A 21,458-nucleotide genomic window follows, 5' to 3' on the forward strand; every position below is an offset into this window, starting at 1 on the left:
GGTCAAATCCCATTACACCAAATCCTATGACAGTGCTCCTTTCCCCTGTAGAAGGCTGCTCTCACCTGTGGATCAAAGCTTCCCAAGGAGTCCTGGCTGACTTGCCTTTGTCCCCAGCCACCCTAGCACAGAGCGTGGCACTGCAGGAGCTCTGCTGCCAAAAACTCCTTTCACCTGCAGTCAAGAACTACATGTGAAGAACTGCAGTTGAGAACTGCACTGTTTGGTCCACATGTTTTTTTTTTTTTCAATTAGATGCCAACATTTAAAAATTGGGACAATGGGGCCAGGCGCGGTGGCTCACGCCTGTAATCCCAGCACTTTGGGAGGTCAAGGCAGATGGGTCACCTGAGGTCAGGAGCTCAAGACTAGCCTGGCCAACATGGCAAAACCCCATCTCTACTAAAAATACAAAAATTAGCCAAGCTTGGTCGTGCGCACCTGTGATTCCAGCTACTCTGGAGCCTGACGCAGGAGAATTGCTTGAACCCAGGAGGCGGAGGCTGCAGTGAGATGAGATCACATACTGCACTCCAGTCTGGGTGACACGCGAGACCCTGCTGAAAAAAAAAAAATTGGGACAGTTAACATACAAATACTAACAGAAACTCTAGCTTCCCACAGGAAGAGGAGTTACTATTGGAGTAGTCAAAACGATACCAGTTCACTCAATAGTATCTACTATGCAGAATGTATATAGGAACCTAATACTGTATTTGGCACAGTCTTAAATATTGTATTCTCTTCTCTCATCCCTCTCCAAATCTGCTAAGCTGAGGTCAAGGCCCTCCCATGAATTCTGTCTAAACAGACTCCAGCCCCCTATGAACATCTTGCGTTGAAAGAAGGAAGCTCATGACTGTAATCCCAGCCCTTTTGGAGGCAGAGGTGGGCAGATCACCTGACCAGCTGGGCAACATGGTGAAACTCCACCTCTACAAAAAATGCAAAAAGTTAGCTGGGCATGGTTGGTGCACGCCTGTAATCCCAGCTACTCAGGAGGCTGAGGTGGGAGGATGGCGTCAGCCCAGGAGACTGCACTGAGCCAAGACTGCACCTCTGCACTCCAGCATGGGCCAAAGAGCAAGACCCTGTCTCAAAACAACAATAACAACAACAAAGCAGGCTGGTGGCTGACATCTGTAATCCTAGCACTTCGGGAGGCTGAGGCAGGAGGATCGCTTGAGTTGGAGAGGTTGAGGCTGCAGTGAGCTATAAGCTATGATTGTGCCACTACACTCCAGCCTAGGTGACAGACTGAGCCCGTCTCAAAACAAACAAACAAACAACAACAACAAAAAAAACCCACCACACACACAAGACAAAGCACAGGGTGCTTCAGTAAGCCATCCCCATGGCCCTGAGCCTCAAATTCTGCACCTGTGAAATGGAATTAATAGTACCTACCTTATGTGAGAATGAAACAGGCTGATGCATGTGAAATGGGTTCTGAGCATACAGTAGGCACTTAATAAATGGCACTATTCTGTGCCATTCCACACTTTAAAAAACTCAGTCTGAAAATAATCTCACTATAAAAGAAATTCTCCAAGAACCTTTCAAAGCCTCCCCCATGGCCAGGAAAAGACCACATCCCCTTCTTTCCAGGAAACACCTGTGCCTCAGGTATCAGCCACCAGTGCCCCCACCTGCCACTCTGCACACCACGTTAGCCCCCTCCACCTTGTTTCTCAGAGATCTGAGGATCTGCACATTCACCTCCCACCACCTCCCTCCCCACCCACCAGTCATCTGTGCTGCCCACCCTGGCAAGCTGTCTCCCTAACACCTCACCTACTCACGGCTTCATGAATTTATTTCCCCACCTTTTTCACCCAGAAGTGGGAGAAGCAGGGATAATCACAAACCAGGAGATGGGTGGAGAGCGGTGGAGAGCTGGTGTAGCCCCACCTCAGTGTGCTCTGCCCACAGCTTCCACCAGGCTACCCTCTAACCTTCTGGTGCTCCTCCCTCCCCTCACCCCGTCCTCTCTACCACTGGGTGCCAGTAACTCCCCACTATCCCTGAGATTTCAGGGGTTTCAGACTCCCAACTCCACAGCTCTGGCAAGAAGCCTGATTCTCTGGCAGATGCATTAGATAAGAAGACACACTCTCTGACCAGGCGCGGTGGTTCACGCCTATAATCCCAGCACTTTGGGAGGCCAAGGTGGGTGGATCACTTGAGGTCAGGAGTTCAAGACCAGCCTGGCCAACATGGCAAAAACCCAGCTCTACCAAATATACAAAAAATTAGCTGGGCGTGGTGGCACGCGCCTGTGATCCCAGCTACTTAGGAGGCTGACGCATGAGAATCATTTGAACCTAGGAGGCAGTGAGCCAAGATGGCACCACTGCATTCCAGCCTGGGCAACAATGTGAGACCCCCATTTCAAAAAAAAAAAAAATTGCCTTATCTTCTGAATAAGGCGCAGTCAGAAGACCAATCACAGAGATCCCTGATTCTCCCCAGGTGCCCCAGCTCAGTGACGCTGTCACCCTGGAAATATCACTCTCAAAGCCCACCAAAAAATAAAATAAAATAAAAATTAAAAATGAAAACAGTAATACCAACCCTTACACCATATGGCTCTGTTTTCCCTGCTGGGAACTACAGCAGGTCACACAGTCTGTACAATCTGTACAGCCGGGAACTACCAAGGTCACACAGTCTGTACAGGCGGAGCCAGGATCAAGCCCATATCCCCACTACAATGGCGGTCTGTGTGACCTGGGAAAAGTCTCTTAACCTCTCTGAGGCTCTGTCCCCTTATCTGTAAAATGGGGATATAGCATCCACCTTGCAGGCTTGCTTTGAAAAGCAGAGGAGTGACAGAACAATGGGAACACACTTTGTCAAGCTGTTGGTTGTTGTTACAGAGGAAGGGTTTCTTCTAATGTGGGGTTTGAAAGAAAAATATTAAAAGTCAGTGGACACTTCTGCTTCTAGCAGATGGAGTAAAAGGAAACGGATTTACCCTCCCACTTGGCACAACCAAAATCCTGAAAAAATACAGGAAACAACAGCTCTCAGGCCAGTGGGCACGAGGCAATAAAAGCTAATGATCCCTGTGGCAGCCCTGTGACTGCCCGGCACACCACCTCAAGCAAGTGCCTAGGCATAGGGAGAGGAAACGAGGAGGAGGGCAGGCTCCCTGAACTGAGGAGGCCAAGGCAGTGGGTGTTCACAAGACAGAGTAACAGGCAACAGAAAGCAGGAAAGGAGAAAACTCCAGACTTCTGTGGAGGGTCTGTTTGAGTACTGATCAGTGCAAGCGTTGTCAGGAAACTACCAGAGATCAGAGAAGGAATGATCGGAAAGGACTAGTGAGAACAGCACCTGGGTTCACAGAGGGCTGAGAAGGGCACCTGTTTCTAACAGCCGGACTAGAAACCTAATAATTCAGGGACACTGGTGGTAGAAGCAAAAAGCTCTTGCCTCAGTGATAGGGAATAATTAGCCCTAGGAAAAAAAATGTTGCTCTGTTCTGACCTAACAAATCTTGACAGCCAGACCTGAAAGGATCAAGCTTCTTCTAAGCAGCTTAACTACATCCCAGAACAAAGCTAAAGAATATTTATAGGAGTAATAAAATACCCAGCAACACAAGGTAAAATCCACAGTATCTAGCATCCGGTTGAACTAACAGCACACAAAACGACAAGAAAAGACCCACAATGAGGGGGAAATCAGTCACCTTAAACTGATCCAGAAATGGCACAGATGTTAGAATTAGCAGACAAGAACATCAAAAACAGTTACTATAACTGTAGTCCATATGTTCAAAAAGTTAAGAAGAGACAGAGATAATATTTTTATTTTTTCTTTTTTTCAGCTCTAACTCCAATGGATGATATTTTTTAAAGACCCAAATCATACTTCTAAAGATGAAAAATATAATCACTAAGGTGAAAAAACAGTGGATGAGATGAATGGCAAATTAGACATTGCAGAAGGAAAGATCAGTGAACTTGAAGACAGCGATATATATTATCCAAAATAAAACAGAGAACAAAATAATTTTCAAAAACAGTTATCAGTGAGCTGTGTGACAGCATCAGACAGCCTAATATATGTGCAAATGGAAAGAGGGAGCAAGGGGTACAGAAAAATAGTAATTGTTCAGATTTTTATGAAACATACAAATTCAGCTGGGCGCGGTGGCACATGCCTGTAATCCCAGCACTTTGGGAGGCCAAGGCGGGCGGATCATGAGGTCAGGAGTTCAAGACCAGCCTGGCCAACATAGTGAAACCCCATCTCTACTAGAAATACAAAAATTAGCCAGGCATGGTGGCACGCGCCTGTAGTCCCAGCTACTCAGGAGGCTGAGGCAGGAGAATCACTTGAACCCGGGAGGTGGAGGTTGTGGTGAGCCAAGATCGCACCACTGCACTCCAGCCTGGGCCAGAGCAAGACTCCATCTCAAAAAAAAAGAAAAATAGAAACTTACAAATTCACAGATATAGGAAGATCAAGAAACCCAAGCACAAGTAATGAAGTTTCCTTACTAAAAGAAGCCACCTAATAATAAGAGAGTGCAAAATCAGTGAGAAAACACAAGTAACCAGAGAGAAAAAAGGCACTGCATATAAAGAAACAAGGACACGGATGACAACAGATTGGTCATCAGAAACCATGCAAGTGATATACAGGAGAGCAATAGCTTTAAAGTACTGAAAGAAAAAGAAACTGTCAGTGTACAATTCTAAATCCAGTATAAAACAAATCCAAAGTGAAACAGACTGTCAGAAAAAGAAATGCTGAAAGAATTTACTACCAGCAGACCCGCACTAAAAGAAATGTTAAAGGAAGTCTTTCAGGTAGAAGAAAAATGACCCTATATGAAAATGCACATCTATACAAAGGAATGAAGAACACCAGAATCGATAACTGCACAGATGAATATATGACTGTTTTCTTATTTAAAAATCTGTAAAAGAGGCTGGGCGCGGTGGCTCATGCCTATAATCCCAGCACTTTGGGAGGCCAAGGCAGGTGGATCACCTGAGGTCAGGAGATTGAGACCAGCCTGGCCAACATAGTGAAACCCCGTCTCTACTGAAAAAAAAAAAAAAATTAGCTGGGCGTGGTGGCATGTCTGTAATCCCAGCTACTCAGGAGGCTGAGACAGGAGAGTCACTTGAATCTGGGAGGCGGAGGTTGCAGTGAGCCAAGATCACACCATTGCACTCTAGCTTGGGTGACAAGAGTGAAACTCTACGTCAAAAAAAAATAATAATAATAACTGCAAAAGACAGATGAATGTAAACAAAAATAATAATAATGCCATATAGTGTTTGTAACATGAATAAGATGATACAGCTTAAAGTCTGAGAGAGAAGAAATAGAAATATAACACAGTAAGGTTCTTATACAGGAGATGGTATAACATCACTTGCAGATAGACCGATAAGCTGAAGAAGTATATAATAAACCCTAAGGCAACCACTAAAAGAACAAGAGAAATAGTTATAGCTAATAAGTCAACAAAGGAGATCAAATGAAAACATTAAAAATATTCAATTAATCCAAAGGAAGTTAGACCAAGAGAAAACATAGAACAACTAACAGATGGAGCCAATAGACAACACGTTGCAGGGTTTGTAGACTCAATCCTAACTATATGAATAATCACATCAAATGTAAATAGTCTGAATATCCTAATTAAAAAACAGAGATTGGGCTGGGCTTAGTGGCTCACGCCTGTAATCCCAGCACTTTGGGAGGCAGAGGAGGGCGGATCACCTGAGGTCAGGAGTTCGAGACCAGCCTGGCCAACATGATGAAACCCCATCTCTACTAAAAAAAATACAAAAATTAGCTGGGCGTGGTGGTGGGTGCCTGCAATCTCAGCTACTCAGGAGGCTGAGGCAACAGAATTGCTTGAACCAGGGAGGCAGCGGTTGCAGTGAGCCAAGATCGCACCATTGCACTCCAGCCTGGACAACAGAATGAGACTCCATCTCAAAATAAATAAACAAAAGCAGAGATTGATTTTAAGATTTGATTTAAAAAAGTAAGACCCAATTTTATATTCCCTACAATAAATGCACTTCAAATATACCTATCAAAATCAAACAGTGGAAAAAGATATACCATGCTAACACTCATCAAAAAGAGTGGCTATTGTAATATCAGACAATGTAAACTTTAGAGCAAGAAATATTACCAGGGATAAATAAGGTCATCTGATGATGATAAAGGGGTCAATTAATCAAGAGAATGTAACAATCCCACATATTTACACATCTGTGAAAGTTGATCATACAAATTGGGTTATTCTTGTCATACCCAACTAAAACAGAGTCAAGAGGCCAGAGAAATAAAAGCAATCAGGGCACATAACATTGCTCCAAGAATGAATTCTCTGCAAGCCTAGCTGTTGTAAACTGAAGCCAGTTTATCTAATTAGCTGTTAAAATAACCTGGTACAACTCTAAAACTAGTTTGACCCACCGCCATCACTCACCAATCAGAACTTGCCAGCTCCCCGGAACCTTACCAGTGACAATGTACTTTCTTGCAAAACAATATGTAACATTTCTCTTTTTCATAACACCTCTAACCTTCTCTTTGTTCTTCAGACATACCAAAACCCACCTGGTCTGTGTGTATGCCCCAACTGCAATTCTTGCTTCCAAAATAAAACATTTTAAATTTAGAGATTCATCTCTTTATTTTATCTGACTTCAACACATCTAATAACAGAGCTTCAAAATATATGAAGAAAAATCTAATAGAACAGCACAGAGGAATAGACACGTTTATAATTATAACAAGATTTCAATCTCCCTCTCCCAATCTTCCAGAGATTTCATTGTCTTCCAGATAATGAGTAGGATATAGTATACTTGAACAGCATTATCAAACAACTTAACCTGACATTTATAGAATACTCCACCCCAACACAACAGAATACACATTCTTTCCAACTGCGTAAGAAACTTTTACCAAAATATCCATGAGTATGAACTCATGGATATTTACTGTATACTCTGGGTTATAATCCAATACTACTCTCTTTATTCTGCTGCTCCAGTTGTTCCAGCTTTGACCATTGGGAGCTCTTTCAGTTGGCTCCTGTCATGTAACCCCATCAAATACGGTTTTCCTTATTCAGTACTTCCTTACTTTCTGGTGCTACAAGATGTTCCAGGCTCATCTTGTGTATTTCCTGCCTCAGTCCTAAAATCAGCCACTTCAAGGAGCTCTAGATTGTTTTACTGAAGAATGGTTTTAAAAACCAAGATCTGGGTACTAGGTATGCTAACTGCTATTGAAGCAAACAATTTTGAGAAAGGTGCAAAGGTAATTCAGTGGAGAAAGCGATCTTTTCAACAAATTGTGCTAAAACAACTGGATATCCATATGCAAAAAAAAATGAGGCTGGGTACAATATCTCATGTCTGTAATCCCAGCACTTTAGGAGGCCCAGGTTGAAGGACTGCTTGAGCCCAAGAGTGCGAGACCAGCCTGGGCAACATAGTAAGACTCCATCTTAAAAAAAAATTTTTTTTTACTAGTTAGCCAGACTGGAGTGCAGTGGCACAATCTCGGCTCACTGCAACCTCCATCTCCCAGGTTCCAGCAGTTCTTGTGCCTCAGCCTTCCAAGTAGCTGGAGTTACAGGTGCCCGCCACCATGCCTAGCTAATTTTTGTATGCTGAGCCAATTTCCATCAGGTCATCTTTTAGCTGCTCTGAACTTCATGTTTATTGTGTTGCTGGTCAAAAATTACTGGTTTGGGCTCCTTGAATAAATGGCTGATTCTAGGCCTGAGGCAGGGAAAGCGTAAGATGAGCCTGGGGCATCTCGTAGTGTAAGAAAGTAAGAAAGCACTAAAAAAACCAACAGGCCAGGTGCAGTGGCTCATGCCTGTAATCCCAGCACTCTGGGAGGCCGAGGCGGGCAGATCACCTGAGGTCAGGAGTTCAAGACCAGCGTGGCCAACATGGCGAAACCCCATCTCTACTAAAAATACAAAAATTAGCTGGGTGTGGTGATGGGTGCCTGTAATCCCAGTTACTTGAGAGGCTGAGGCAGGAGAATCACTTGAACCTGGGAGGCGGAGGTTGCAGTGAGCCAAGATTGCACCACTGCACTCCAGCCTGGGAGACAGAGTAAGACTCTGTCTCAAAGAAAAAAAAGAAAAAAACCAACAATGAAGAAACAGAAACCAGAACAGAGGATGGGTACATGTCAAAGAGATACAGCAGCCAATGTAAAAAAGCTACTAATGGTCAAAACTGGAACAATTCAAGCAATAAACAGAGTAGTATGAGGGGCTTTAAAAAGTTCATGGAAAAAACGCAATTGAAAGATAAAAATTAGGGCTGGGCACAGTGGCTCACGCCTGTAATCCCAACACTTTGGGAGGCAGAGGTGGGCAGAATACCTGAGGTCAAGAGCTCGAGACCAGCCTGATCAACATGGAGAAACCCCCTCTGTACTAAAAATACAGAATTAGCCAGGCGTGGTGGCACGTGCCTGTAATCCCAGCTACTTGAGAGGCTGAGGCAGGAGAGTGGCTTAAACCCAGGAGGCAGAGGTTGCAGTGAGCCAAGACTGCACCATTGCACTCCAGCCTGGACAACAAGAGCAAAACTCCGTCTCAAAAAAAAAAAAAAGTAAGAAAGGTAAAAATTAAAAATACAAACTTTATTTCTTAACAGACGCTCCATCAAGTTCAAGACACTTTTATAAGTGATGATGCCAGCCATTTAGTGTCCATCCCTAAAGAACTGAGGGTCCTGGGAATTCAACTGTGATAACGTAGCATTTTTTACATTATTAATGGAAGAAAAAATGGGTGCCCTTTAAAGATTTTTGTAAGATTAGAAAACAAAAAAAATAGAAGGAGCCAAATGAGAACTGTAAGGTGAATGCCTAATGATTTCCAATAGAAACATTTGCAAGGCCAGGTGCAGTGGCTCATGCCTGTGATCCCAGCACTGTGGGAGGCTGAGGTGGATGGATGACCTGAGGTCGGGAGTTCAAGACTAGCCTGACTAACATGGAGAAACCCTGACTCTACCACAAATACAAAATTAGCCGAGCATGGTGGCACATGTCTGTAATCCCAGCTACTCAGGAGGCTGAGGCAGAAGAATTACTTGAACCTGGGAGTCGGAGGTTGTGGTGAGCCAAGAGTGCGCCATTGCACAAGAGCGAAACTTGCAAAATTGCCCTTGTTTGATGAGAGGAATGAGCAGGAGCATTGTCGTGGTGGAGAAGGACTCTATGGTTAAGCTTTCCTGGGCTAAAGCTTTTTTTTTTTTTTTTTTTTTTTAGCTTTCTGCTAAAGCTTTGGCCAACTTTCTGAAAACACTCTCATAATAAGCACGTTATTGTTCATTGGCCCTCCAGAAAGTCAACAAGCAAAATGCCTTGAGTATCTCCAAAAACCAGTTGCCATGATCTTTGCTCTTGACTGGTCTGCTTTTGCTGTGACTAGACCCCTTCCGCCGCTTGGTGGCCATTGCTTTGATTGTGCTTTGTCTTCAGGATTGTACTGGTGAAGCCATGTTCCATCTCCGGTTACATGTCTTCGAAGAAATGCTTCAGGATCTTCATCCCACTTGTCTAAAATTTCCATGGAAATCTCTGCTCTTGTCTGCAGCTGATCAGGGTGCAATGGTTTTGGCACTCATCGAGTAGAAAGTTTTCTTAACTTTTTCAGTCAGAATTGTGTAAGCTGAAACAGTTGAGATATCTATGGTGCTGGCTATTGCTTTTGCTGTTAATTGCCAGTCCTCTTCTATTAAGGCAAGACCAAGATGAATTTTTTTCTTGCAAATTGATGCAGATAGTCTGCCACTGCAAGCTTCATTTTAAACATCATCTCATCTCCTCCCTTCTTAAAACAATGTATCCATTTGTAAACTGCTAATTTCTTTGGGGCATTGTCCTCATAAACGTTTCAAAAAGCATCAATGATTTCACCACTCTTCCACCCAAGCTTCAATTTGATGTTTCTGTTCCACTAATTTAATGTTTGTCCCTGTTTCAAATTTAGCAGAATTTATGTTTTTCTGATAGGGGCTCTTTTCAAACTGATGTCTTATCCTTCCTAGTGCCTCAAACTAGATTCTGTTCAGACATGTTATAACATGTTAGTATGAGTTTATTTTGATGCGAAAAAATGCTTGAGATCCGTGTATAGTTTTTCTCATAATATTAACACATACTTTCCATGAACTTTTTGAAGACCTTCACATCGGATTATAACCCAAAGTATGAAATAAATATAAGCGAGTCCATACTGATGAAAACAGATGATTAAATAAATCAGTGTGGGAGAAGAAACAAATTTTCCTTACAGAAGAATTCCAAGTAATGTCTGTGAACACTTTTCCCACCCCCAAACCCACCCACCAGAAGCTGAAGCTTAATCCTCTCCTCCCACTTGAGGATGGGCTGGACTTAGTGACTTGCTTCCAACGAACAAAGTATAGAATATGGGAAAAAACAAACTTTATGGTGGAAAAGCCTGGGAAACATTACCCTAAACAAGTGAGGAAGGTTAACATTATCAGTGATAAGTCATGCTGATAATCACGTACCTCTGGTATGATAAAAATATTTCACCTCTCTGGGGTTCTTCCCCCAAAACCATAATGGTAGTTAATGGAGTCAAGGACGTGCTATCCCCAAATATGCTTAATCGGCATATTGATTATTTTGAATGAAAAACATTGGAGAAATTGTAGCTTCAGAAAGGGTTAGCTGACCTGTCTCTCCCTGCATGCAGCCAGCCATAAAGATTCCTCCCAGTGACATGGCAAGAAAATAGTCCCTTATCACCAGAGACTGAAAATTAGGGCTGCAATGAACCTGAAAAATAAACTTCCTGAAACAACCCTTACTTTCTTATTTATTTATTTATTTATTTATTTATTTATTTATTTATTTATTTATTTTAGACGGAGTCTCGCTCTGTCAGCAGGCTGGAGTGCAGTGGTGAGATCTCGGCTCACTGCAACCTCCCCCTCTGATTCTGCAATCTGATTCTGAACATAAAGCAAGCCCAGACTCTGCTAAGTGATTTTCCCCTGTGGTCTGTGTAGCCTGCTACCTCCCTGAGCTGTAGTGGGATGTCCAGGGGGTAAAGAGAATGAGACAGGAGTTGGCGAGTTCCTCTTGCTCAGCATCACCAGTGACTCAGAGAAGCAGCAGGCCCTCTTCTGGCTCTTCCTGTGTATGCACTTAGTCACTGAGGCTGGAAACACACCCATCATCCTGGGCATCGGCTCCAACCCTCGCCTGCACACCCCCACGTACTTCTTCACCCATCTCTCCTTTGTCAACATCTGCTTCATCACCAACCTGATCCCCAAGCTCCTGGTCAACCATGTGGCAGGAACAGGGATGATCTCTTTTTTTTTTTGAGACTGTCTTGCTCTGTCACCCAGGCTGGAGTGCAGTGGCCCGATCTCAGCTCACTGCAAGCTCCGCCTCCCGGGTTCACGCCATTCTCCTGCCACAGCCTCCCGAGTAGCTGGGACTACAGGTGCCTGCCACCGTGCCTGGCTAACTTTTTTTTTTTTTTTTTGTATTTTTAGTAGAGACAGGGTTTCACCATGTTAGCCAGGATGGTCTCCATCTCCTGACCTCATGATCTGCCCGCCTCGGCCTCCCAAAGTGCTGGGATTACAGGTGTGAGCCACCTCGCCCGGCCTATGGACGATCTCTTCTCCCCAGTGCCTGACTCAGATGTACTTCCTCATCTCCTTTGCCAACGTGGACACCTTTCTGCTGGCCATCATGGCACTGGACCACTATGTGGCCATCTGCAGCGCCCTGCGGTACTGCTCCATCATCACCCCCGGCTCTGTCAGGGGCTGGCCGTGCTAGCGTGAGCAGGCTCCAGCCTCATCTCCCTGGTCCACACGGTCATCATGAGCAGACTGGCCTTCTGCTCCTCCGCCCAGATTTCACACTTCTACTGTGACGCCTACCTGCTCATGAAGATTGCCTGCTCACATACATGTCAATCAGCATGTGTTCCTGGGGGCCGTGGTCCTGTTCCTGGCTCCCTGTGCGCTCATCTTGGTCTCCTACATCCGCATTGCTGCAGCCATCCTCCGGATTCCCTCTCCTACAAGAAGGCGCAAGGCATGTTCCATATGTAGCTCCCACCTGTCTCTGGTCACCCTGTTCTATGGAACTGTCCTGGGGATCTGCATATGACCCCCAGACTCCTTCTCAGCCCAGGACACCATAGCAACCATCATGTACACTGTGGTGACCTCTATGCTAAACCCCTTCATCTACAGTCTGATGAACAAGGAGGTCCAGGAGGCCGTGAGAAGGCTCTTCAGTAGGGGCTCACACTCATCATGGTGCTGGTGAGTGCTGGGCCGATGTCTGGGGAGGTTCAAGATGGGAGGAAACAGAACCCGACTCTGGACGTCACCTCAACACCACTTCCTTCCACACACCAATTTAGACTATTTTTAGAGAAGGGAAAAAAAAACTGAAAGTGGGAGAAGAATTAGAAGAGAATTTTACTATTATTAGAAGAGATATGCCTATCTCTGGGAATCTAAATCAGCTGCAGGTAACAGAAAATCCCAATTACATCTATTTAAACAAGACGGGTTTATTTTTGTCTTCCATAATGACAATTCCAGAATGGGAAGTCCAACGCCAGAAACGTGGCTCCTTCTAGATCCCTCCTCCCCCAGCCATAGAGTGAGGCTTTCATCCCTGTGTTTCCAAAATGGCTGCTGGGGATCCCACCATCTTGTCCTGTCTCAGTGGAAGGATGAGGAGAGGAAGGGCAAAAGAAGTTTATCACTTTCCAGGGATTTCCCAGAATCACCACTCAGCATCTTCTTTTCACATCTCAATGGCCACCTGCCTGCCACGCAGGCTGGGAAAGGTTGTTGTCATATGTTGCTGTTGTTTGTTCACTTGTTTGTTAGGGTTAGATACATCACCATTTCCAATAAAATATAGATTATCTTAGAAAGGATGAGAAGGAAGTGGATAATGGACAAACAAAGGGAAGAAATGCAATACCTGACTTATTTTGCCACATTCACAGATGTGAGGTCATATTGTTATTTTAGGAGTTTTGCACATGGATTCCCTCTGGACTGATTGTGTATTAGGAGACAAACCAGACGGGTTTCCACACTCCTGAGGCTACAGAATCTGAAGACAAATCCCACAGTTCTCCCAAACATCAGAGTGAGGTTCCTTCTGGTGGAGACAAGCAGTGTGAGAAAAAGTGATGGGCAGATTTAGTGGCATTAACTTTTTGTGAGACTATAATTTTTTTAAGGAGGAGTAGATTTTATTTGAGATTTGTTTTTCCTCTGTGGGAACCTCTGTGTTTTGTTTGTTTGTGACAGAGTTTCACTCTTGTTGCCCAGGCTGGAGTGCAGTGGCACAATCTTGGCTCACCGCAACCTCTGCCTCATGGGTTCAAGTGATTCTCCTGCCTCAGCCTCCCAAGTAGCTGGGATTACAGGTGCACGCCACCATGCCTGGCTAATTTTTGTGCTTTTAGTAGAGACCAGGTTTCACCATGTTGGCCAGGCTGGTTGCAAACTCCTGATCTCAGATAATCTGCCTGCCTTGGCCTCCCAAAGTGCTGGGATTATAGGCATGAGCCACCGCGCCCAGCCCCTCTGTGGGAACTTAATATGGGGGAAAATTTATACTGTTAAAATTTTGCACATTGTACTATTGATATAAACTGCTCTTAAAATAAAGCACCAAAATACCCCAAATGTAATAAAGGAGACAATGAAGCATATAGTAAAATAGCAAATATTTCACAAGGCTTTGTGGAACATATATTTCTAGGTCCAATATCAAGGGCTAAATCAATACAATTTGTAAAAAATCAGCTGCAAGAGACTTTTTAATTGCTATGCTTTCTTAGTCTGATGTTTTGACATTGAGGACCTCTATAATGGGAGAGGGACTGTGCCTCTGAGAGATAGGTAATTCCTAGAGATAGCAAACAACTCAACCAGGGTGGTGCCTTTGACATGCGAGCTCATCATTCCAGAACCCAGACCACTCCCAGCTCCTCACTCTGGGCCAACACTCCCGTTCCATAATCATCCCAGGTCCAGGTATCAGGCCACTAGGTACAGATCCTATGCCCAGAGCTCACTGAAATTACTCAAACCAGCCAATCCTAAACCTGTGTAGCCTGCCTCTCCCATTCCTAACTGCAGAAACCATAACAAAGGATCTTCCTCATGTTTTCTTCTTGCTTCCTCTACCTCCTGACCAACGCTAGTACTTCCTATGTGGCCCACCGTGGCATGCTGTGCCTCCTGTTTCTAGCAATCTGTGATATAAAAACTTCTTCCTTCAAGGCAGTCATTTCTGTGTCTGTGTGTCTTACCATACCTGATTAAAACAAACCCAGGGAACATGTTTATCCCGATGTGATTGTTTGTTTGTTTTTGTATTTTTGGTAGAGACAGAGTTTCACCATGTTAGCCAGGCTGGTCTCGAACTCCTGACTTCAAGTGATCTGCCCACCTCGGCCTCCCAAAGTGCTGGGATTACAGGCGTGAGCCACCTCACCCAGCCCTGATGTGATAGTTTTATAATTGAGAATATCCAGTATGCTTGGAGTGGTGAAGCAGGCACTTAAGGTGTGAATCAAAGGTTAATCAAACTGTGATTGATGGTGATACAAACAGGAGACAGGGAAATACTGGGTAGAAGAGGGTGGCTCCCTGGCAAAGGCCCCACCCTCCAGCCTGAAGACCTGCAGCCCTAAGTGAGGACAGGCATTTCTGTTTTCATGCCCAAAAAGTTGCCTTTTGGCCCTCCATGCCCCCCATCCTGTGCCCATATAAACCCAAGACCTTAGGGGGTACAGACAGAAGTGGCTGAATGTCAAGAGGAGCAGAGGAACAGACCAGCAAACACCAGCAGACCAGCAATGGTGGAATGACACAGCAGAGAAAGGGAGAAGAGGACGTCTAGACACTGAGGGGAGTTCAGCCGCGGATGGTCGGGCTGACTCTAGGGGAAGACCACCTTCTCACTCCATCCCCACGTCCAGCTCCCCATCCATCGCACTGAGAGCCACCTCCGCCACACAGTAAAACCGTGCACTCATCCTTTCAGCCCACGTGTGATCTGATTTTTCTGGTACACTGGGCAAGAACTCAGGCTGTCACACTGGCCCCCTGCCCTTGCAAAAAGGCGGAGGGTTTATTGAGCTGATTAACACAAGCCGTCTGCAGATGGCAAAGCTGAAAGAACACACTGTAACACATGTCCACGTGGGCTTCAGGAGTCGTAGACACCCCACCCTAGGCACCGCCATGGGGCCGGAGCCCAAAAGCACTCCCCACAGCCTCTGCATCTGCCCGTCTGCATGCTCCCCCTACGGGCTGGAGCAGCCATACTCCTGCTGCATGTCCTGCCAGGGGGATAAGGGACCTCACCACTTTCAATGGGAGAGTAAACTGGGACAAACTTTCTGAAAGAAAATGTAGCAATTTTTACCAAAGCCAAAAAAACCTGGCTCAACAAATCATATTTTAGGAGTTTATCATTAAAGAAACATAACAAGTTGTTACGATGTTCATTATACGATATTGATAATAATAAAAAGAAAAGATTTAGATGTCCATTGGTTTGGGAAGTGTTAAATAAATTATTATTTTGTTCTTAAAAATCATGACAATCTATACTTACTAACATGGAAAGATGTCAAAGATACACTCAGTTTTTTAAAAAAGCAAGTAAAAGGACAAAATAAACGACTCTGTACACATAATCATGCACAGAAAAATGTTAATAGTTATATATAAAATCTTAAGGATGAGTATCTCTTAGCGAAGGGTAATTTTCATATAAAGTTTGTGCATCCAAATATTTTAAGGGAGTGTTTTTTCTCTTATAATCAGAAAAAAAGCAGTTTCATTTATTTAAAAACTACAAAAATACTGAGGGTAGTACACAGAAGCCTGTCACTTACATGTTCCTTCCAGTTTGCCTGACTGAGGAGGAAGGCCCAGCGGTGATAGACGATGGAGCAGCACGTTGGTGGTAGGCTTGAGGAAGTAGTTCTACAGGGCAAGCCAGAATGGAGAGAGGGATATCATGCAAAAGGGCAGAGTAGGGAGCTCCAGGGTCAGCACCCCCACCAAAGCAATGACTGACCTTGAAAGAGCAAATGGAATCAATGATTTTGGAATCCTGGAACCTGATTGGACCCTTAGAACAACCAGTGGAGTGCTTCACGAAGGGGGAGGCTACTGCGCTTTGGTACGAGAGCAGCATGCATAATCAGCTACCACCCCTCCTCCCACCATTTCTCAGCCCCACTGGAGGGTCAGGCTGCTGCCAGATCAGAAAGCCAGGACCTTGTCTTGCAAATCTGGGGATTGTATAATACGTACTGGGTGATCTGAATAGTATTCTGAGGGACCAAAGCAGACATCAGCCTTGGTTTCATCCCACTTCGCTACAGTAGCTTCTCCAAACCCTTAAAGAGATAAAGCCCCTTTTTGTCGCCTTTTTGGAGCCAGGCATTTAAGGGACTCTCATCAGTTGATGCAAGTGGAGGGCTCACTTCGTTTCTTTCCTTTTTCTCAGGAATTACTGTCCTTTACAGTTTGATGCCCAGTGTCCTAAAACCATCAACTCATACATTTTGTCCATTTTCAGCCAGAAGATAAGTTCACTGTTACTCCATTCTAGCCAGAAGTGGACATCCAATTAATTTTTATTTTTTTGAGACAGAATCTCACTTTGTTGCCCAAGCTGGAGTGCAATAGCGTGATCTCAGCTCACTGCAACCTCTGCCTCCTGGCTTCAAGTGATTCTCCTGCCTTGGCCTCCCAAGTAGCTGAAACTACAGGCACACGCCATCACGCCCAGCTAATTTGTGTGTGTGTGTGTATATATATACACACACACATATATTTTAGAGGAGATGGGGTTTCACCATGTTGGCCATGCTGGTCTCAAACTCCTGACCTCAAGTCATCCACCGGCCTTGGCCTCCCAAAGTGCTGGGATTACAGGCATGAGCCACCACGCCCGGCCTAGATAATTTATTTTTGACAAAGACCTCAATGCAATTAATTGAGGAAAAGGGCAGTCATTGCAAAAAATGGTGCTGGAACAACTGGATTTCCACATGCGGAAAAAGTAAACTTCAATCCCTACCTCATGTCATACATGAACATTACCTCAAAATGGATCACATGTAAGGGGCAAAACTGTAAAGGTTCTAGAAGAAAAGAAAGGAGAAAATCTTTACAACCTTAGTGGGTGTAAAGGTTTCCTAAATAGGACACATAACTTCTAACTATCAAAGAACAAAGTGATAAATTGGACTCTATCAAAATTAAAATTTTCTTTTCACCAAAAGATATCCTTGGCCTGGCATGGTGGCTCACACCTGTAATCCCAGCACTTTGGGAGGCCAAGATGGGTGAATCACCTGAGGTCAGGAGTTCAAGACCAGCCTGGCCAACATGGTGAAACCCTGTCTCTACTTAAAATACAGAAATTAGCCGGGCGTGGTGGCAGGTGCCTCTAATTCCAGCTACTCAGGAGGCCGAGGCAGGAGAATTGCTTGAACCCGGGAGGCGGAGGTTGCAGGGTTGCAGTGAGCCGAGATCGCGCCATTGCACTCTTGTCCTGGGGGACAAGAGTGAGACTTCGTCTGGAAATTAAAAAAAAAAAAAAAAAGATATCCTTAAGAAAATGAAAAGGCAAAAGCAAGCCACAGACCAGGAGAATGAATACGAGTATATATATATATATATATATATATATATATATATATATATGAATAATATATATAATATAAAAATTGTTTATATAATGTATTCTGGGAGGATTTTTACCTAGAATATATAAACAAGTCACACAAATATTTAAGACAAACAATGTAATAAAAATGGGCAAAGGACTCCTTGTGATTTGGGTCAGGGCAGACTAGCTGTGATTCAGGTCCCTGAAGGACATGAAGCTATGCCAACACTGGACATACATAGCGCCTGCTCACAGTGAATGATTGCTAGTAAAAGTTCATAAACAACATGAAATATTCAGTAACAGTGCACATGCACCTGCTAATGTATACAATCCAAACAGGCATTTCAGAGTGCTTCTCATCTGTGATGCCCAGAAAAGACAAATAAATTTGTCAAGAAAAAGCTAAGGGAAGTTAACTATAAGTAAATCTGCCCAAAAGGCAGTTTAAGTTCATAGACTGTCATGAGGTTCAATGAAGTTGAATTGATGGCTAGGGAAACAGAAAGCCACAGCTCTAATTGGGGCCTCCAGCATCAGCAAACTCCTGACTCTCTTTAGACAGGCTGAAACCCTTTGCTGTCAACTAACCCACATTTGTAGAAATATTTGGCATTGATTTGTTTTTTTTTTTTTTTTTTTTGAGATGGAGTCTCATGCTGTCGCCCAGGCTGGAGTGCAGTGGCATGATCTCAGCTCACTGCAACCTCCACCTTCCAGGTTCAAGCAATTCTTCTGCATCAGCCTCCCAAGTAGCTGGGATTACAGGTGTGTGCCACCAAGCCCAGCTAATTTCTGTAATTTTTTTAGTAGAGATGGGGTTTCACCATGCTGGGCAGGCTGGTCTTGAACTCCTGACCTTAGGTAATCCACCCTCCTTGGCCTCCCAAAGTGCTGGGATTACAGGAGTGAGCCACCGCACCCAGCCTGGAATTGATATTATTTTGATATTATATTCTGGGATCCATGGAGTAGCAAGCTGAGCTCCAAACTGATCCCACAGTTCATCCGATTAGTGGGTGAGATCAGATAGTGACCAGAGGTGGAAATCATGCAATCTTTGATGATAAGAGGACAAAGAATTATTGCCTCATTAGTACAGTGTAAAGGCTATATCATGGGCTGGGCAAGGTGCTAGTCCCAGCACTTTGGGAGGCCGAGGCGGGTGGATCACCTGAGGTCAGGAGTTGGAGACCAGCCTGGCCAACATGGCGAAACCCCGTCTCTACTAAAAATATAAAAATTAGCCAGGCGTTGTGGTGGGCACCTGTAATCCCAGTTACCCGGGAGGCTGAGGTGGGAGAATTGCTTGAGCTTGGGAGGCGAAGGTTGCAGTGAGACAAGATCACACCACTGTACTCCAACTTGGGTGACAGAGCAAGACTCCATTTCAAAAAAAAAAAAAAAGAAAAGGATGGGGGGCAACCACAAGGTGGTTCTGGTCACGCTTGGGCTCATCCCCATGTGAAAGCCTCGGAGAGTGGCACCTGGCAACTACATCTCACCCCCATCATTCCCACCCTGCAATGTGCAAGCCCAAAGGACCAGGCATGCGGACGAAGAGGAAGAAGGGCAGGAGGCCTAGGACACCATTGTGTGGTGTGCTATATATGAAATGGCCGGGTCCTCTCTAACCTCCAATCCACTAGGAGAAGCACCCAAGAACTCTCCATGCAGGGCATGCAAGAGAGAAAGAGCAGATGTCTGCCAGCTGCACACAGTGCTGGGTGGACGGCAGAATGGCCTGACTCAAACAGCTGCTCAGTGTGATGTGACCCTGGCACCACGGGTGGGAACGTGGCAAAGGTGCCTGAGCTTCTGTGGATGGCGGTAACCTGAACAGCCCAGCAAGAAGTCTGGCGAAGTTGGCTGGAATATAACCAATGATCTGTGCTGCCATGTAAGGAAAAATGGTGCTGATGCAAACTAAAAAAAGAAAAGCTTTCCTGAAGTAGTAATTAAAATAGGCTTTTGAGAGACTATAAAAATATTGACTGGGTATTTTAACAATATGAACCAGCGAGATGTGAACATAACTTCGTTCTTTTCGGACTGGGGAGAGTTGTGCTTCCAGATCTGGAAACATCCTACTTTATTACTGGATCAACATGGAGTGTGAGAAAAGAGTGAGACCAAAGAGAATCTCAAATTTCTGACCCGAGTAGCTGAAAGGACAGAGTTGTCATTAACTGAGATTTTTTTTTAAAAGTAAGCCAACAGCGGGCGTGGTGGCTCACGCCTGTAATTATTCTAGCACTTTGGGAGGCCGAGGCAGGCGCATCACAAGGTCAGGAGATCGAGACCATCCCAGCCAACATGGTGAAACCCTGTTTCTGCTAAAAAAATACAAAAATTATCTGGATGTGGTGGCGCGTGCCTGCAGTCCCAGCTACTAGGGAGGCCGAAGCAGGAGAATCGCTTGAACCTGGGAAGCAGAGCTTGCAGTGAGCCGAGATCGTGCCCCTGCACTCCAGCCTGGTGACAGAGCGAGACTCTGTCTCAGAAAAACAAAAACAAAAACAAACAAAAAAAAGTAAGCCAACACCAAGTCCTGTCCTAATGTCAACAGGACTTTGGGTGATACTGACATGTCAGTGTTGGTTATTCAGTTGCAACAAATGTACCTCTTTATTTCTTTTTCTTCCTCCCTTCCTTCCTTCCCTATCCTTCCTCCCTCTTTTCTCCTTCTTTTTCTTTCTCTTTTTCCTTCCTTCCTTTCTCTTTTTCTTTCTTTCTTTTCCTTCCCTTTCCTTCTCTTTCTTTCTCTTTATTTCTTTTCTCCCTCTCTCTTTTTATTTTTCCTGGGTCTTGCTCTGTCACCCAGCCTGCAGTACAGTGATTTGATCACTGCTCTCGAAGCTTTGATCTCCGAGGCTCAAGCAATCCTCCCACTGCAGCCTCCTGAGTACCTGGGACTACAAGCACATGCGGTCTCGCCATTTTGCCCAGGCTGGTTTCCAATTCCTAGGCTCAAGTGAGCCTCCCGCCTTCAGCATCCCAGAGTGCTGGGATTACAGGCATTAGTCACAGCACCTGGCCACTCAAATGTACTAATCTTGCAGGATGTTAACAGGTAGGCTGTGAGTGTGTGGGACAAGGGGCTATGAGAACTCTCTGTACTTCTGGCTCCATTTTCCTGTAAACCTAAAAACAGCTCTAAAAAATACAATCTATTTTTTTAAATATGGGTAAAACTGATTTGGGAGATAAGACAAAATATCCTATTTTAAAAACATGTTAATTTTGAGATACCTAAAAGAAACACTTGCTGAAGTATGAAAGTGATCGAGGAAATGGGGAGATGTGAGTCAAAGGACACAAAATAGCAGATATGTGGGATGAACGAGTCTAGACATCTAATGTACAACATGAGGGCTAAGGTTAATACGATTGTAATGTACTAGGGATTTGTGTTCGATAGATTCTAGCTGCTCGTCACAAAAAAGTAACTACGTGAGATGATAGATATGTTAATCAGCTTCATTACAGTAACTGCTGTACTAGCTATATGTATCCCATAATATGTTGTAATCCTCAAGTGTACACAATAGCATTTATTTTTAGAAAACAAGTGATACTATACTCTGGTTTGATATGTTATTTCTGTCAATTAATACTACACTTTGCATGTTAAGCACTGTCATACTATTAGATAACACTGCTTACAAAAATACTATGGATACTATGAAATTATTTTGACC

General features: G+C 44.4%; 1 long non-coding RNA gene and 1 pseudogene across 1 annotated transcript in view, besides 1 other annotated feature; one reads left to right on the plus strand and one right to left on the minus strand.

Moving 5' to 3' along the window:
* On the plus strand, positions 11,104–12,348 carry OR1X1P (olfactory receptor family 1 subfamily X member 1 pseudogene; annotated as a pseudogene).
* LOC124900194 (uncharacterized) overlaps positions 11,707–21,458 on the minus strand; it is a 29,722-nt gene continuing 19,970 nt past the window's right edge. The window contains exon 4 of the long non-coding RNA XR_007059067.1: positions 11,707–12,100. This is a non-coding gene — a long non-coding RNA (uncharacterized LOC124900194). The remainder of the gene's footprint in view (positions 12,101–21,458) is intronic.
* Positions 15,209–15,709: an enhancer, noted in NCBI's record as "H3K4me1 hESC enhancer chr5:175437253-175437753 (GRCh37/hg19 assembly coordinates)". NCBI's record gives its function as "activates a minimal SCP1, AML or CMV promoter by ChIP-STARR-seq in naive H9 embryonic stem cells {active_cell/tissue: H9 hESC(naive)}" and the evidence as "EXISTENCE:reporter gene assay evidence [ECO:0000049][PMID:30033119]".

This window comes from Homo sapiens, chromosome 5, assembly GCF_000001405.40.
Source record: "Homo sapiens chromosome 5, GRCh38.p14 Primary Assembly".
NCBI lineage: Eukaryota > Metazoa > Chordata > Mammalia > Primates > Hominidae > Homo > Homo sapiens.